Source organism: Homo sapiens, chromosome 1, assembly GCF_000001405.40.
Source record: "Homo sapiens chromosome 1, GRCh38.p14 Primary Assembly".
Lineage (NCBI taxonomy): Eukaryota > Metazoa > Chordata > Mammalia > Primates > Hominidae > Homo > Homo sapiens.
In genome coordinates this window covers 194,261,991-194,279,681 of record NC_000001.11, presented here as the reverse complement: position 1 = coordinate 194,279,681, position 17,691 = coordinate 194,261,991, and the positions used below count along the sequence as shown (strand labels likewise).

The 17,691-nt window shown below is 35.2% G+C and overlaps 1 long non-coding RNA gene across 3 annotated transcripts in view, besides 1 other annotated feature; it reads left to right on the top strand.

Annotated features, from left to right (window-relative positions):
• The window catches only part of LOC107985242 (uncharacterized), a 199,987-nt gene that overhangs the window by 78,159 nt on the left and 104,137 nt on the right, over positions 1 to 17,691 (top strand). The gene's annotated exons all lie outside the window — the stretch shown is intronic.
• Positions 10,326 to 10,827: an enhancer, noted in NCBI's record as "NANOG hESC enhancer chr1:194237985-194238486 (GRCh37/hg19 assembly coordinates)". NCBI's record gives its function as "activates a minimal SCP1, AML or CMV promoter by ChIP-STARR-seq in naive H9 embryonic stem cells {active_cell/tissue: H9 hESC(naive)}" and the evidence as "EXISTENCE:reporter gene assay evidence [ECO:0000049][PMID:30033119]".

Genomic DNA, 17,691 nt, shown 5'->3' with positions numbered 1-17,691 from the left:
AAAATCTGCTGCTGATGAAACCTCTCAATTTTTTTTGTCTAAAAATTGTGTTTATTTTGCTTTAATTTTTGAAGGACATTTTTTACTATGATAGAATGTCTTTTTTTTTTTTTTTTTTTGAGATGGGAGTTTCACTTTGTCACCCAGGCTGGAGTGCAGTGGCGCGATCTTGGCTCACTGCAGCCTCCGCCTCTTGGCTTCAAGCAATTATCCTGCCTCAGCCTCCCGAGTAGCTGGGACTACAGGCACCTGCCACCACACCCAGCTAAGTTTTGTGTTTTCAGTAGAGACAGCGTTTCACCGTATAGACCAGGCTTGTCTCAAACTCCTGACCTCATGATCCACCCGCCTCAGCCTCCCAAAGTGCTGAGATTACAGGCATGAGCCACCGCGCCTGGCCTCTATAGAATTCTTTATTGGTAAGTGTTATTTAGTTTTTCAGCCCTTGAAAAAAAATCAAACCGTGTTTTTTTTATCATTTATGTTAACAGGCCAGTTATTAATCTCATTATTGTTTTTTGAAGAAATTTAACTGTTTGCAAGAGACTGCATTTTGTCTTTCTAAAATTCATATGTTGATGCCTTAAGCTTCTATGTTATTATACTTAGAGATAGGTCTTTAGAAGGTAATTAGGCTAAATAGGGTTAGATGGGTGAGGCCCTAATTCCGTAGGACTGTGGCCTCATAAGAAGAAAAACGAAGAGCTGTTTCTCCCCTTCTTTCTCACTCTCTCCTTTCTCTTTCTTGTTCTCTCTTTCTCTCACTCTCTGTCTCTGTCATATAAGGCAAAAAGGCAGCCACCTGGAAGCCAGGAAAAGAGTTCTTACCAGGACCCAAATTGTCCAGCACCTTTGTCTCGGATTTCCTTACCCACAAGAACTGAGAACATAAATTTCTGTTGTTGAGCTACCCAGTCTATGTGTTTTGTTATGGCAGTCACAACGAATTACTACAGTGGTTTTATTTTTATTTAAAAAATTTTTCTTTCCAACCTTTATTGTAGGTGCAGAGGGTACATGGGCAGGTTTGTCACATAGATAAATTGTGTGTTGTGGGGGTTTGGTGTACAGATTATTTGGTCACCCAGTTAATGAGCATAGTACCCTGTAGGTAGTTTTTTGATGTCTCCCTTCTCCCACCCTCCACCTTCAAGAAGGGCCTGGTGTCTATTGTTCCCTTCTTTGTGTTCAAATGTGTTCAATGTTTACCTCCAATTATAAGTAAGAACATGTGACATTTGGTTTTCTATTCCTGTGTTTCATATTTTCTTCATCCAGTCCACTGTTGATGGGCATCTAGGTTGATTCCATGTCTTTGTTATTGCGAATAGTGCCATGATGAATACACACATTCATATGTCTTTATGGTAGAATGATTTCTATTCCTCTGGGTATATACCCAGAAATGGGATTGCTCGGTTGGATGGTAGTTCTGTTTTAAGTTCTTTGAGAAACCTCGAAAATGCTTTCCACGGTGACTGAACTAATTTACATTCTCACCAGCGCTGTATAAGCATTACCTTTTCTCCAAAACCTTGCCAACATCTGTTAATTTTTGACTTTTTAATAATAGCCATTCTGACTGGTGTGAGATGGTATCTCATTGTGGTTTTGATTTGCATTTCTCTAGTGATTAGTGATATTGAACATTTTTTTTTTTTTACATGCGTGCTGGCTACGTGTATGTCTTCTCTTGAGAAGTGTCCATTCACATTTTTTGCCCATTTTTTAATGGTTTTTTTTTATTGTTAAATTGTTTAAGTTCTTTATGGATTCTGGATAGTAGGCCCTTGTCAGATGCATAGTTTGCAAATATTTTCTTCCATTTCATAGGTCATCTCTTTACTCTGTTAAAAGTTTCCTTTGCTGTGCAGAAGCTCTTCAGTTTAATTAAGTCCCACTTGTTAATTTTTGTTTTTGTTGCAATTGCTTTTGGAGTCTTTATAACAAAATATTTCCCAGTGCCTATTTCCAGAATGGTATTTCCTAGTTATTTCCAGGTTTTTATAGTTCTGGCTTTTACATTTAAATCTCTAATCCATTTCGAATTGATTTTAGTTTATGATAAAAGGAAAAGGTCCAGTTTCAATCTTTTGCTTATGGCTAGAAAGTTATGCAAGCACTATTTATTGACTAGCGATTCCTTTCCCTGTTGCTTGTTTCTGTCAAATATCAGATGGTTGTAGGTGTGTGGCTTTATTTCTAGGCTCTCCACCATGATCCATTTGTCTATGTGTCTATTTTTGTACCAGTACTATGCTGTTTTGATTACTGTAGCCTTGTTGTATAGCTTGAAGTTGGGTAGTGTGATGCCTCTGGCTTTGTACTGTTTGCATACGATTGCTTTGGCTATTCAGGCTTTTTTTTTTTTTTTTGGTTCCATACGAATTTTAGAATAGTTTCTTCTAATTCTATGAAAACATCATTGGTAGTTTGATAGGAATAGCATTGAATCAGATGGTGGTTATAAATTTTCTCTTTCTATTCAACATTTTAGATACTTTACTATAATGTGTTATGTGTTATTATATACTATAGATTATATGTTTATATTATATATAGATATATAATATCTATATGATATTGATATATATATCATATATAGTTTTTGCGTGTATATATATTTATGGAAGGCCTGACTTTATATATATATATCTATATATATCTCCATAAATCTGTGACTTCATATCAGTAATCAGTTTTTGGAAATCGTTAGCTATTACTTATTCAAATAATTATCCTGTCTAATTTTTTTTCATTTCTAATGGGACTGCATTTGCACATATATTAGACCTATTCATGGTATCTCTGTTCTTTCTGTATTCTCTCTAAATATTTTCATTTGTTTTACTGTTCAGATCTCCAATCTTGTCTTTTGCTGTTTCTCATGTGTTTTTCAGTACAGCCCTTTAATTCTTAATTTTACATATAGCATATTTTCTATTCTTTTAATTTTCTCATAACTCATTTTATAAAGTTCAGTTCTCTGACGAAAAATTCCAATTCATCTTTATTTGGTTGAAAATATTAATTAATCTCATATTATAATTTAGGTCTCAAATCCTCATAACCTATTACTCCTCTGAAACTATTTCTTTGTTTCTTTTCTAATCTTTGTTATTATCATCATGATCACCATAATTAGCACCACCATTTATTTTTGCCCATTGCTATGACATGTAATTTTTTTTTTTTTTTTTTTTTTTTTTTGAGACGGAGTCTCGCCCTTTTGCCCAGGCCCGAGTGCAGTGGCGCTATCTCGGCTCACTGCAAGCTCCGCCTCCTGGGTTCACACCATTCTCCTGCCTCAGCCTCCCAAGTAGCTGGGACTATAGGCGCCTGGCTAATTTTTTGTATTTTTAGTAGAGACGGGGTTTCACCGTGTTAGCCAGGATGGTCTAGATCTCCTGACCTTGTGATCTGCCCGCCTCGGCCTCCCAAAGTGCTGGGATTACAGGGGTGAGCCACCGCGCGTGGCCTATGACATGTAATTTTTTAAATGGAATTGTGCAGAAAAAAAATTAGAAATATTTTAACACATTGGCTTGTCTTTATAGAGTTTTTCTTTCGTTTTTCACAGGTAGTTAAATTTGGGCCATACCACCTTAATCCAATATGAAATTAAGCTTATTTGAAACTGATTACAAATCATTATGAGATCTGGTCTACATCTTACTTGATTTTGTCTTCATGCAACTGGAAGACTAGTGTATTCATAAAAATTGTTCCACCTCTGCAAGCCCTGAACTGTAATCCATACTTCCATAGTCTTGGTAAATTGCTCATAGCTATCTTCAGTTTCCAGACTCTAGAATTCAGTATAGGTTATTGGAAATTACCATAATTCAGTTAGTGATTGAGCTAATACTTGGTGGGATTTCAATGTTTGTGACAGCTAGTCAGTTCCTAAGTTACTGTTTTTTTAAGAGTATATTCCTTCAGGCCTCACAAATAAAAGGCTAAAGTATTTGTGTGCTCCTCCCCGTCAGGCTTACATTCAATTTATTTTATCCCACCTCTGGGAGATTAAAAAAATATATTTGTTCAACTTCTTGAATTCCATACCACCGTATGTGGATTGTCGTATCCCCAGATGGAAGAATCACACATAGGAAATCCACATTCACCTCTTTGCTTCTCCTCTGTCCAGGATCTTGTTCCTACAGGACTTGAAAGCTTTAAAGTGACTAATAAAAAGAAGTTACTCAAATTTTCTAGCCTTTGGTTGGAAGATTTAACTGAGACAAGCTAATATGCTTTTCCTGGAAATATTCTGTGGTTTATATTCAAAGATTCATTCTTTTGTTTCAATTATGCATATTATTTTAAGCATATCATGATCACTGAAAGTCACACCAAAATTCTTTACATCTTTTAATTTTTGTTTTGCAGCACAATTTTTGTATTGTACTATGTAGCACCAAGAAAGTGTATAATTTTCATATGTTAGCCACAGGTGAAAAACAAATTCTGCTTGGAGTGGAAATATTTTATTTTTCCAATTAACTTTTAACCTAACAAACACCATAGTATTAAAAATACGTTCAGTTTTCTTAAGAAGCAAAACCTACACAGCATAATTAACTCATGGGACTTTCTAAAGTTACAAGGCCAGAGTTGGGCATATTTAATGCTATCAATTAATTATCTAGAGAATAGTGGATATCCAGTAACTCACTCCGTGCTTGGTAAACATTGAGAAGCAAGCAACTTATTTGTTATAATGTCATTGGTTATTCTTGAGAATACATTTCCGAATTATATATGAAAGCTAATGGGTAATATGATTATTTAATACAATTTGTTTTATGAAAAACAATTCCTTAACAAAAGTCATAGTAAATGACAGCAAATGAATGAAACATTAACTATTTGTTAATCTCCTTGCTTCCCCTTTGCATGCGTAATTACTATTTATTCTTACAACACTTTGAGGTAGATATCAGGCTTTTATAACCTAAATAACTCACCCAAAATTACAGAGGTAGTAAGTGATACAGATATAACTTAAATATATCTCTTTCTGATTTCAATGATTGTTCTCTGAATAGAATTTTTCTTCCTGATTCGTCTTGTTACTTCATAAGTTTACAATTCATTCTCAAAGAGATACAGCAGCTTGTTGCCTGTTTATTACTAATATTGAATGAGCTGAAATACAATAATATGGATCAATGTAAGAAATCAAGAAATGTGTTTATTTTTAAATGCCTTTACATGCCTTTTCTTTTAACTCTAAAATCTTCATATTTTCATCTTTTCCAATAATTTACTTAAATGTTTATAAATACTAAACCAAGAAAAATTTGTTTAAAGAATTTAGTTGTTTTGGTCCATTACTCAGTTTTCCACATTAGTCCCAATAGTGGGAGATGGATTCATTATATTTTATTCGTGGAACACCTAAAATTAGCTTTTTGTTTGTTTGTATTAAATAGATATTTAATCTATAAGCACCAGACATTAAATTATACTAGATATGGATAACTCCTTAGACAATATACCTCAATATCATGGTTATAGTTATCCTTTATCTTTTCTTACTTGGTGCTTGTTTGAATATGTTAAACTGTCATGCTCCATTCAGTACTGGCTCTGATTAGCTACTATGTGTGAATGCAGAACTTTCTATATGCTATTGCATTGAATAAATATATCTGTGTTAAATACCTTAAAAATATTTTGTAGTCAGAGATTGTAATTAATTATCTTCTGAAATATGCTAAAATGCCAACATTTTATTATGTACTCACCAAGTTATGGACACTGCCTTAGTCACTATGTTTGGCCCCAGTGGCCACACAGTCTAATGAAACAGATACACTGAAGTATGATGCAGATAATCCCCGAGTGTTCTAGGAATTTAGAACTGGGTTACTTAATTCAGACCAAGTGAAAATAGAGGGATTGCAAGAGACATTAAAAATAAAAGCAGAGGAAGAACAGAAACACAAGAGAAAGTCTGAATAACTACAAATAATTCATGTTGACTAAATGTAGAGAACAGAGAGCTAGAGGAAGTAATGACATTTTAGGAAGCCAGATAATGTAGAACAAATATCCTACCTGTGGGACATGAAATGTGAGCAAGTGACTCCCCCCAGTTTAGCATAAATCTTGTCTCAAAAATAGGTCTGAATTGAGGGCCAACTTACAGGAATTAGGGATCTTGATATGGCAAGTGGTCAATAAAATAAACGGGGCCAGGTGTCTCCAGCTTTGCATGACTTTACTAGTCTTTCTGGTAATAATTGAAATAGTAACTTAGAATTAGATCTATACTAAACATTGCAGCAATGCACTCTTTCATTAACTTGGCAAACTCTTTTTACATTTGCCATTCGTTAAAAGGGGAGAATTACTAGCTTGCAATGGTGAGATTTAGCTTTTAGCCTGACAAAGGTGTCATATCAGACTTTTGCTGCATTAATTGCTATTGTCTTTAGAACTTCCTGTTTAAGGTGTAAGGAAGGGATCCAGTTTCAGCTTTCTACATATGGCTAGCCAGTTTTCCCAGCACCATGGATTAAAGATTTAAACGTTAGACCTAAAACCATAAAAACCCTAGAAGAAAACCTAGGCATTACCATTCAGGACATAGGCGTGGGCAAGGACTTCATGTCCAAAACACCAAAAGCAATGGCAACAAAAGCCAAAATTGACAAATGGGATCTAATTAAACTAAAGAGCTTCTGCACAGCAAAAGAAACCACCATCAGAGTGAACAGGCAACCTACAACATGGGAGAAAATTTTCGCAACCTACTCATCTGACAAAGGGCTAATATCCAGAATCTACAATGAACTCAAACAAATTTACAAGAAAAAAACAAACAACCCCATCAAAAAGTGGGCGAAGGACATGAACAGACACTTCTCAAAAGAAGACATTTATGCAGCCAAAAAACACATGAAAAAATGCTCATCTTCACTGGCCATCAGAGAAATGCAAATCAAAACCACTATGAGATATCATCTCACACCAGTTAGAATGGCAATCATTAAAAAGTCAGGAAACAACAGGTGCTGGAGAGGATGTGGAGAAATAGCAACACTTTTACACTGTTGGTGGGACTGTAAACTAGTTCAACCATTGTGGAAGTCAGTGTGGCAATTCCTCAGGGATCTAGAACTAGAAATACCATTTGACCCAGCCATCCCATTACTGGGTATATACCCAAAGGACTATAAATCATGCTGCTATAAAGACACATGCACACATATGTTTATTGCGGCATTATTCACAATAGCAAAGACTTGGAACCAACCCAAATGTCCAACAATGATAGACTGGATTAAGAAAATGTGGCACATATACACCATGGAATACTATGCAGCCATAAAAAATGATGAGTTCATGTCCTTTATAGGGACATGGATGAAATTGGAAACCATCATTCTCAGTAAACTATCACAAGAACAAAAAACCAAACACCGCATATTCTCACTCATAGGTGGGAATTGAACAATGAGATCACATGGACACAGGAAGGGGAATATCACACTCTGGGGACTGTGGTGGGGAGGTGGGGGGGGCGGGGAGGGATAGCATTGGGAGATATACCTAATGCTAGATGACGAGTTAGTGGGTGCAGCGCACCAGCATGGCACATTTATACATATGTAAGTAACCTGCACAATGTGCACATGTACCCTAAAACTTAAAGTATAATTAAAAAAAATAATAAATAAATAAATAAATACATAAATAAATAAAAAGAACTTCCCGTTGCTTAAGTAATGTGAGTCTTTGTCAACTCAAGTGTTTTAAGTCAGCAGGCCTAGAAATTAGTGTGATAGGCAAAAGTTTTAGCAAAAATCTTAAAAAAAACTGAAAAGTTTAGACAGTTATTTTTATAGGAAACACCCACTGAATATCTATTTGTAAATCTAAATTGGCAATAGGCGAGTGCTTGAAAATACGATGCTTCGGGTGTTAATTGATTATCTGTCAAAATGACAAAACACCTTGCTAAAAAGATTTGGCTTGTCTGAAACTAGTGGGTTTGAAAAACACTGAAGGGATTTAGGTAAAGCACAAATATAAAAAGATATGCTTATTTGAAAAGTTACTCAGACAGTGAGTTGGGGAGGGAATGTTGAGAGGCAAGTCTCATAGACTTAAGATAAATTATGGGGCTATAATTAACGTGTTAGGATTTTTATATTAGCTAGTTTAAAACTTCTTAGTTAACACTTTTTTTTGTCCTAGGAGCAGAGATTAAATGATTAGTGGCTTCTCCATTGCTTCATCATTAGGATGTCACTCTAGCTAACCCTTCCCCAGGTACCAGGGGAATTAAAACTAAGAAAGAAAGAACTAACAATTTTTCATTTTGATTCATTGAGGACCATACCTGCTGAAAGGTCTGACTTTGTATTTTATTTCATTTCCAGTCGTTTGTACAGGGAAATTATCCCATTAGGTGAGGTTGGAAGCCTTAGGGTTGCTTGCTGCCCAGCCTCAGTTATCCTCTTTGTGGGGATACAGTTCCCCAACAGTCACTGGAAGAACAAACCTCCCATTCCCAGCCATGTGATTGGATCAACTTATGCCAAGGTGGACTATGATGAGATCAGTCTAGTCTATGCACTCCAGCTCCACAGTCACATTAACTTCTTAGAAAATGGCTTAAAATACACAGCTAATGTGAATTTAAAAAGCATTTCAAGAATTTTTTAAACCTTCCCCTCTGTTCCAAAGCAACTAAATTAGATATCTCTTTTAACAGTGATTGACCATAATAATTTATCTGTACAACTATCTTTCATATAACATAGCTCTTTTTCCCCCCACTTATGTTATACTAGTCCATGTGTTTCTAAGGAAAAGAATTGCGTGTGTATGTGAATTGTAATGGATCACAGTAAAAATCTTTTTAAAAAATAAAAATTAGTTTTAAAGCATATTGACATCCAGAAACGACTGAGAGGAAGGGTTAATAGTTATTGAGTATCTTCTATGACTAAATTTGAAGTGAAAAATACAATAACATGGTTAACTATCTACAGTTAGTATTTATAATAGAAGATTTTATTTTAAGACAAATTTTTTTAAATGAGTAATTACGAACAAACCCAACACATGAAAAAACACCAGGAACATCTTCTGAATATAATTTTAGATATTTATTTAGGAAGATGGTCAGTTATAAAGAGAAAATAAGAAGAAAAGAAATGGATATATCTTTTGCAATATTGAAATGATTATATCTGTTGACTTGATCAAAGAGAAAAAACTAAAGTGAATCTTAGAGGATTTATTGTAAATGTTTATATCATATTGACAAATATTCTTTACAATTGAGAAATAAAAGTTTAAACATTAAGAGAATGGTGTTGTATTTAAATTTTGTACTTTAGACTCTATTAAGTTATTGTTATAAAAAATGAGGACATTAATATATATTATAATGCCAACTTCCATACTTCAGTCTTCTTATTTGTTAGTCTTAGTGTTAATTTTAAAATATAAAATTTGTAGCATTTAACTTCTATTTTCTCTGAGAATTTTAGTCTTTTTACCACATTAAATATATCTAATGCCTATATTAAATCTTTTTACAACACATTCTCCATTTTGTTTTATTTTGAAACATATCCTGTCCCATTAATTGATTGGCAAATAAAATTTTTCGCAAATGTTTAAATGTACTCCATTTCTTGAATTCTGTTATGATATGAATGTCTATTACCATCAGCTCTAAAAGATCATTTACATATTTACAATATTCTTGGTCCATTCTTTTTCTGTGATTTTTGTTGAAATTGCTCCATATATCTGAAGTGAATGTTGCCACAGAGATTCTGAGGCCTAATAGATTTTTCATGTATAGTTGATTTATTATTATTTATTTTTGCCTAGACCCACATCTAATTTCATCTTTCTGATTGAGTTCATTGCCTTCACTTGAATCATTCTTATTTTCTCTCTGATACCCAATGAGACATCCACTATAACAAAATCTTTGTTTATGTAAGTAAACCTTTCTTCCCCTAGAAAGTTAAAACTTTAATCTCATTTATTTTTTAATTTTATAGAAATACTATTTTAAATCTCATTTGTGTGATTTATATAATTAACTAAAAGATAACTATTCTTATATAATTATATTCTCCATTTTATCCTGTGTAACTTCCTCCAACCTAATGATTGTGTTACTGTCTCAGTTATTTTTATTCTTGTTTTGATACTTATCATTGGACTTTCAATGTTGTTTAACATTAATTTCTCTTACATTTCTTTCCTAGGATAACTGATGCTTTATATTCTTCTTTAAACTGTTCTAATTCTAATACGGCTTTTAGAGTAGAGCTTATGTTACAATCTCTCTCAGGTTTTGATGAACTCTTTCTTTGTTTCAACGAGGTCTTTTGAGAGGTTTCTATCTTCTGCCTTTTAATTTCATCCTTTGTACAGTTTATCTTTTTTTAAAGTGACTGTTAATACATATTCCTGCTGTTGGTTTATGTGTGATTATTTCTTAACTGAAAAAAAGTAGACTGACTTTTGTTCAAAACACTGTCATTTAATCAAAATTATTTGATATGGATGACACTCACTACTGGATAATCTATAACTGGTTAAACCAACAGTCAGAGAGAGTGCTGTGAGTTCACAGCAGTGGAGCATTAGCAAATGTGCATACCAGTCATCCTTTGAGATTGGGCAATTCCCAGTCTTTCTTTAGTTTTCTTTGTGTGTGTGTGTTTCATGGGGTACAAAAGAGAGAACTCATAAGACTTTATTCCACTATCTTTAAATAAAAATTATGTTCCATAGAATACTAGAACTGAATGAAGCATTATAAGCCATTTAGTTGAACTGCTCTATTTTACAAATAAAAAAATTAGACTTATTGGCAGAGTTGGAACTAGAAAGAAAACCTCCTAAGTTTAAATCTAGTGTTTCTTACTTTTGGAAACTACTTATGTGTAGAAGAAACATATGTGTTCCACAGAGGACATTTCTGTTGTATCCATAGTAAAAATAATTCTTGTTTCACAATCATCTCAGCACCATTACTATGGCTCCTCACCCCTCATCAGACTATCAGTTGCTATTGAACTTCCTTCCTTTCTTTGGTTTTATTGGGTAAATTAGATCGTTTTGAATAGAAAGTAAGATGTGCAAATTGAATTATAAGCTACATGTTGGTGTATTTTTTTCTTGGCTGGAAAAGTGCTCTTAGGCTTTATTTTTCACTAATCTTGTTTTTTCAGTGTAGGAAGAAGATGAAATAGCAGTATAAACTTTGTTTTTGAAGGTAGGTCAGTGATAGTTCTTGAATCCATAAGTTCGTTAGTATAAAATTCTGCTATTTTTTGTATGATTCCTATCTGAACTGATGCACCAGACCCAGTATCCAGTGTTTCCATTAACACCCTAGGACTCTGCCCTTCATAGATGCAAACATGTATGATTTTTAAATACTTACATCCATCAAAGTACAGAGTCAAATCTAAGAGACAGTAGACTCTGCTTTATGATCAGAAGTTAAAGCTTTGCTGTTATCATTTCTCCTCTCTGCCTTTGGCCTGTTTATTTATTTATTTATTGAGTTACAGTGAGGATCAAGGTTAATTTTATTTTAAAACCAGCATTTCTGTCCTGTTGTATGAGGATCTCTTTTACTTTTATGATTTTTACTTGTGTAAATGTAGGGGGTACAATACAGTTTTCTTATAGGAATATATTGTGTAGTGGCATAATCTGAGCTTTTAGTGTAACATCACCCAAATAGTGTACATTGTGCCCATTAAGTAATTTCTCATCCCTTACCCAGCCCCACCTTCCCACCGTCCTCAGTCTCCATTATCTATTATTCCACACTCTCTGTTCATGTGTACATACTATTTAGCTCCCACTTATAAGTGAGAACATCCAGTATTAGAATTTCTGAGTTATTTCACTTAGGACAATTGCCTCCAGTTCCATACATGTCACTGCAAAATGTATTATTTCATTATTTTTTATGGCTGAGTAGTATTTCATGGTGTGTGTGTGTGTGTGTGTGTACACATCACATTTTCTTTATCCAATCATTCACTGATGGACACTTAAGTGGATTCCATATTTTTGGTATTGTGAATATTGCTGCTATAAATATACTGCTTCGGGCATCTTTTTGATATAATGATTTCTTTCCCTCTGGGTATTTTTCAACATTGAGTTCTTCAAGCTTAACTTAGTAGATGTAACTACTTGCTCTTCTTAATCTTTACATGACCTTATTGACCTTGCTCAGATCAAGACCCATTTGCTTGCCTACCTGGGTCTAAAGTTCTGGCATTCTCCCTGAATGACATTTGCCCAGCTTTTGATTTACTGACTGCTTAAAATGCTACTATTTCAAAGTCCTTCTGTACAAGATGCATTACTCTCCTGGTTTCTTTAAATCTGTTTCAGCTCAAAGAAAAGCATGACATGTTTGAAAAGAATTTACACGGACCATTTTTAGAATTTTACAATCTCTTTAGAGATTTTCCTTGATGCTTATCTTTTCATGGTTCTATCTAAACATGTTGTCTATGAATATAACTACTTAATCTTTTGAGGATCTTAATTGAAATTGAATTAATAGTTGTTAAGAGCCCTTTCCCTCACATAATTCTACAAGCATAGTAGAATCGGATTCTCTGAAATTTTGTTCTAAAACTAGAGTTTCCTTGACTTTTCTCATGTACACTCCATATTATTCCCTCTGTCATTAAGTCTCCATTTCAATTGCCACTGCTTTAGTTCCTTAGTATCAACATTTCATAGTTGGGCCATTGATAAAGTTCCATGATTCCAGTCTTTGCCTCTTCTTTGCTATCTTTTAGCCTTATCTTGAGTATACACACTCAAGCATACATAAAAATTGCATAACCATGTTGTTACCTATGTATACCCACAGACTCAAACCCTCTGAAATTCTCATTTATTGTCTCCAATATGGGATTCAAAAATTGCATGGTTAGCCAGCAACCCATATAATTCTAACATAGGAGCTCAAAAGAGTATACATTGAGAAATATCATGCTCCAGTATTATAACATTTTTGCAGAATACACATAAACTGTTCCTAACCACCCGCTCATCATCATTCCTGCATCATAGTTTTACACACTAGCAAAACCCGTTTGTAGTTACCCACACATATTATGTTGTATCTTGCTTCCATGTATTTCTTTGTTTCTCCAAGTTTCCTTCACTTTTAATATTCCTTTTCCACATTCCTTATGATTCAATTCAGGCACCACTATTTCTGAAATGATTTTCCTGACATCCTTAGCTACTTTTTGTCTTTCAACAATTCTCTGTTCATAGCTCTATCAGTGTCTATGTTGCATAATATAGTAATTTTGTACATATTTTTCAATTTCCTCCTCTTTATTATTCATACCTAAAAGATTGATCATTCATCTTGATTTTCCTGACATTTAGCAAAATTTCTGGTATAAAACGTGTTCAAAAATATTTGATGAACAAATAAATAAATCAGTAATAAAAAGAGATTAGATTAATTAGATTGAATTAGATTAATAGTTAAGTCCTTTCCACATCTGAAATTCAGTTTTCTCAATTTGCAGAAGTTGAGATATACAAAAGGAATATGATATCCAGTATTTTAGAATAAATACTGGGGAAACCATTGATTGAGTAAAACATCTAGGAACTAATCTTCATCTTATAAATGAGAAATTTGAGGATTTTCACTTGCTGGAAAATACAGTATTTACTAATTGCAGAACTACAACTGATTATTCTAAAAAATATGACATTTTTATTCAGTGACATATGGTATGATTAAGGAGATAAGAAAATATTAAATTATTACAGAAATGGTAAATGTAAAGTGCAAGTAAGTGCAATAAATGTTAGTAAAATAACTATGAAAGATGATGTGTGTAGTAGGATCAAGATTGGACCCCAACATTTGGTAGGATTCAGATAGAAAGGGGGTATGAAAGATAAAAACATTTAAAAAGGCACAGGTTGCCATATCTGAAAAAAAAGTTTGTAATCAAATGTGACCCAGACCCCTAGACCTCCTTTGGAAGATAATAATTCAGAAGTACCAACTAGCTTTAATAATAATTTTATTTTAATGTCATGTTTATTAACATTGAAAATGTTTTTATATTATCATTTTGGTATTCATCAGCTATATGAATAATAATGGAGTTAATAAAATAGAAGAATAATAATACTGCCTATCAAAATGGTGTTCTATTCAGAACCATAGGTCATCACCATGCTGATTGAGGTCTCTCTTATTACCTATTTTTTGCCTTTCAAATCCAATACATGTTTTTCTTTCCAACTTTTATTTTAGGTTCAGAGGGCACAAGTGCAGGTTTGTCACATGGGTAAATTGAATGTAATAGGGGTTTTGTATTAGTTCATTTTCACACTGCTGATAAAGACATACCTGAAACATGGGAACCAAAAGCAATTTAATTGGACTTACAGTTTCACATGGCTGGGAAGGCCTCAGAATCATGGCGGGAGGTGAAAGGCACTTCCTACATGGCAACAGCAAGAGAAAAATGAGAAAGAAGCAAAAGCAGAAACACCTGAAAAACCCACTAGATCTCATGAAACTTATTCACTATCACGAGAATAGCATGGGAAAGACAGTCCCCATGATTCAATTACCTGCCCCAGGTCCCTCCTACAACACATGGGAATTCTGGGTGATACAATTCAAGTTGAGATTTGGATGGGGACACAGCCAAACCATATTATTGTGCCCCTGGCCCCACCAAATCTCATGTCCTCACATTTCAAAACCAATCATGCCTTGCCAACAGTCCACCAAAGTCTTTACTCATTTCAACATTAACCTAAAAGTCCACAGTCCAAAGTCTTATCTGAGACAAGGCAAGTTCCTTATGCCTATGAGCCTGTAAAATCAAAAGCAAGCAAGTTACTTCCTAGATACAATAGGGTACAGGTATTGGGTAAATAAAGCCTTTCCAATTGGGAGAAACTGGTCAAAACAAAGGGATTACAAGGCCCATGCAAGTCCAAAATCCAGTAGGACAGTCAAATTTTAAAACTCCAAAATGATCTCCTTTCACTTCTCTCACATCCAGATGACACTGATGCAAAAGGTAGGTTCCCGTGTTCTTGGGCAGCTCCACCCCTGTGCCTTTGCAGGGTACAGCCTCCCTACTGGCTGCATTCACAGGCAGGCATTGAACATCTGTGGCTTTTCCAGGCGCAGGGTGCAAGCTATCGGTGGATCCACCATTCTGGGTTCAGGAGGATGGTGGCCCTCTTCTCACAGCTCCACTAGACAGTGGCCCAGTAGCAACTCTATATGGGGTCTCCAACCCCACATTTCCCTTCCACACTGCCTTAGCAGAGGGTCTCCATGAGGGCCTTGCCCTCACAGCAAACTTTTACCTAGGCATCCAGGCATTTCCATACATCTTCTGGAATCTAGGCAGAGGTTCCTAAACCTCGATTTTTGACTTCTGTGCACCCACAGACTCAACACAACAGGGAAGCTGCCAAGGCTTAGGGCTTCCACCCTCTGAAGCTGCATCCCAAGCTGTACATTGGCCCCTTTCAGCCATGGCTGGAGTGGCTGTGACCCAGGGCACCAAGTCCCTAGGCTGCACACAGCACAAGATCCATGGTCTCAGCCCACAAAACCACTTTTTCCTTCTGGGCCTCTGGGCCTGTGATAGGAGGGGCTGCTGTGAAGATCTCTGACATGGCCTGGAGGCATTTTCCCCATGGTCTTGAGGATTAACATTAGGCTCCTTGCTGCTTATGCAAATTTCTGCAGCTGGATTGAATTTCTCCCAAGAAAATGGGTTTTGCTTTTCTATCGTACAGTCAGACTGCAAATTTTCCAAACTTTATGCTCTGCTTCCCTTATAAAACTGAATGCCTTTAACAGTACCCAAGTCAATTCTTGAATGCTTTGCTGCTTAGAAATTTCTTCTGCCAGATACCCTAAATCATCTTTCTCAAGTTCAAAGTTCCACAGATCTCTATGGCAGTGGCAAAATCCCAACCAGTCTCTTTACTAAAACATAACAAGAGTTGCCTTTAATCCAGTTCCCAACAAGCTCCTCCTCTCCAACTGAGACCACCTCAGCCTAGACCTTATTGTCCATATCACTATCAGCATTTTGGGCAAAGCCATTCAACAAGTCTCTAGGAAGTGCCGAGCTTTCCCACATATTCCTGTCTTCTTCTGAGCCCTCCAAAGTGTTCGGTATTTTTGCCTGTTACCCAGTTCCAAAGTTACTTCCACATTTTCGGCTATCTTTTCAGCAACACTCCACTCTACTGGTAGCAATTTACTGTATTAGTCCATTTTCACACTGCTGATAAAGACATACCCGCTACTGGGGGGGGGGGGGGGGCGGGGAAGAGGTTTAATTGTACTTACAGTTCCACATGGCTGAGGAAGCCTCAGAATCACAGTGGGAGGTGAAAGGCACTTCTTACATGGTGGTGGCAACAGAAAATGAGGAAGAAGCAAAAGCAGAAACCCCTGATAAATCCATCAGATCTCCTGAGACTTACTTACTATCACAAGAATAGCACAAGAAAGGCCGACCCCATAATTCAATTACCTCCTCCTTGGTCCCTCCCACAAGATGTCAATTTCTTGGAGATAGAATTTAAGTTGAGTTTTGGGTTGGGGACACAGACAAACTATATCAGGTGTGGTGCACAGATTATTTTGTCACCCAGGTAATAAGCATAGCACTTGATGGGTAATTTTATAAGCCTAAACCTCATCCTGCCCTCTATCCTCAAGTAGTCTTCGGCGTCTATTGTTCTCTTTTTTTACGTCCAGGTATACTCAATGATTAGCTCCCACTTATCAATTTGAACATATGGTATTTGATTTTCTGTTCCTGTATTAATTCACTTAGGATACTGGCCTCCATCTCCATCCATGTTGTTGTAAAAGACATGATTTTGTTCTTTTTGTGGCTGCATAGTACTCCATGTTGTATATGTACATTTTCTTTCCAGCCCACTGTTCATGGGCATCTAGGTTACTTCCATGTCTTTGCAATTGTGAAGAGTGGTGTGATGAACATATGTGTGCACGTCTTTTTATGGTAGAACTAGAAATTTCCTTTGGGTATATACCCAGTAATAGGATTGGTGGGTTAAATGATAGAATTAATAACATTTAATAGTCATTTTTCATAACATTTGCTTTTTCTCTTCACTCTCTTTTGTGATGCTATCTCTCTTCACAGGTTATAAAGATTTTATATATAGATAGATTTTACATATATATATATATATTCCTGAATGTTTGTATTCTTTAAGATTATGAAAAATATTACAAGTGTTGTCAATGTAATCAATGTAATTTTATGGTCTCAAACAGGTAATGGTAATGGTCTGAAGATTTAGAATGGAACTATGTAAATCTGTTACCTTTATCTAGACATATATGTGCAACACTTCATTTGAAAATTCATTCATCTAATAGTAGCAAGGTTGTGTTTATCTTGTAGATAAGCTAAGTCTGAACAACTGTTATTTATTTGTCAAAATAGATAGTGGCTTAATCATTAAGTTTAAGTCGTGGTCACAATAGCAGGGGCATTGACATGCTTTACAAGTTTTTTTTTAATATATGTGTGGTTGATGATATCATTTTCTGTAAACCCTTATTGATTCTTAAAGCGCACATGTTAGAATGTAATAATTCTTGAA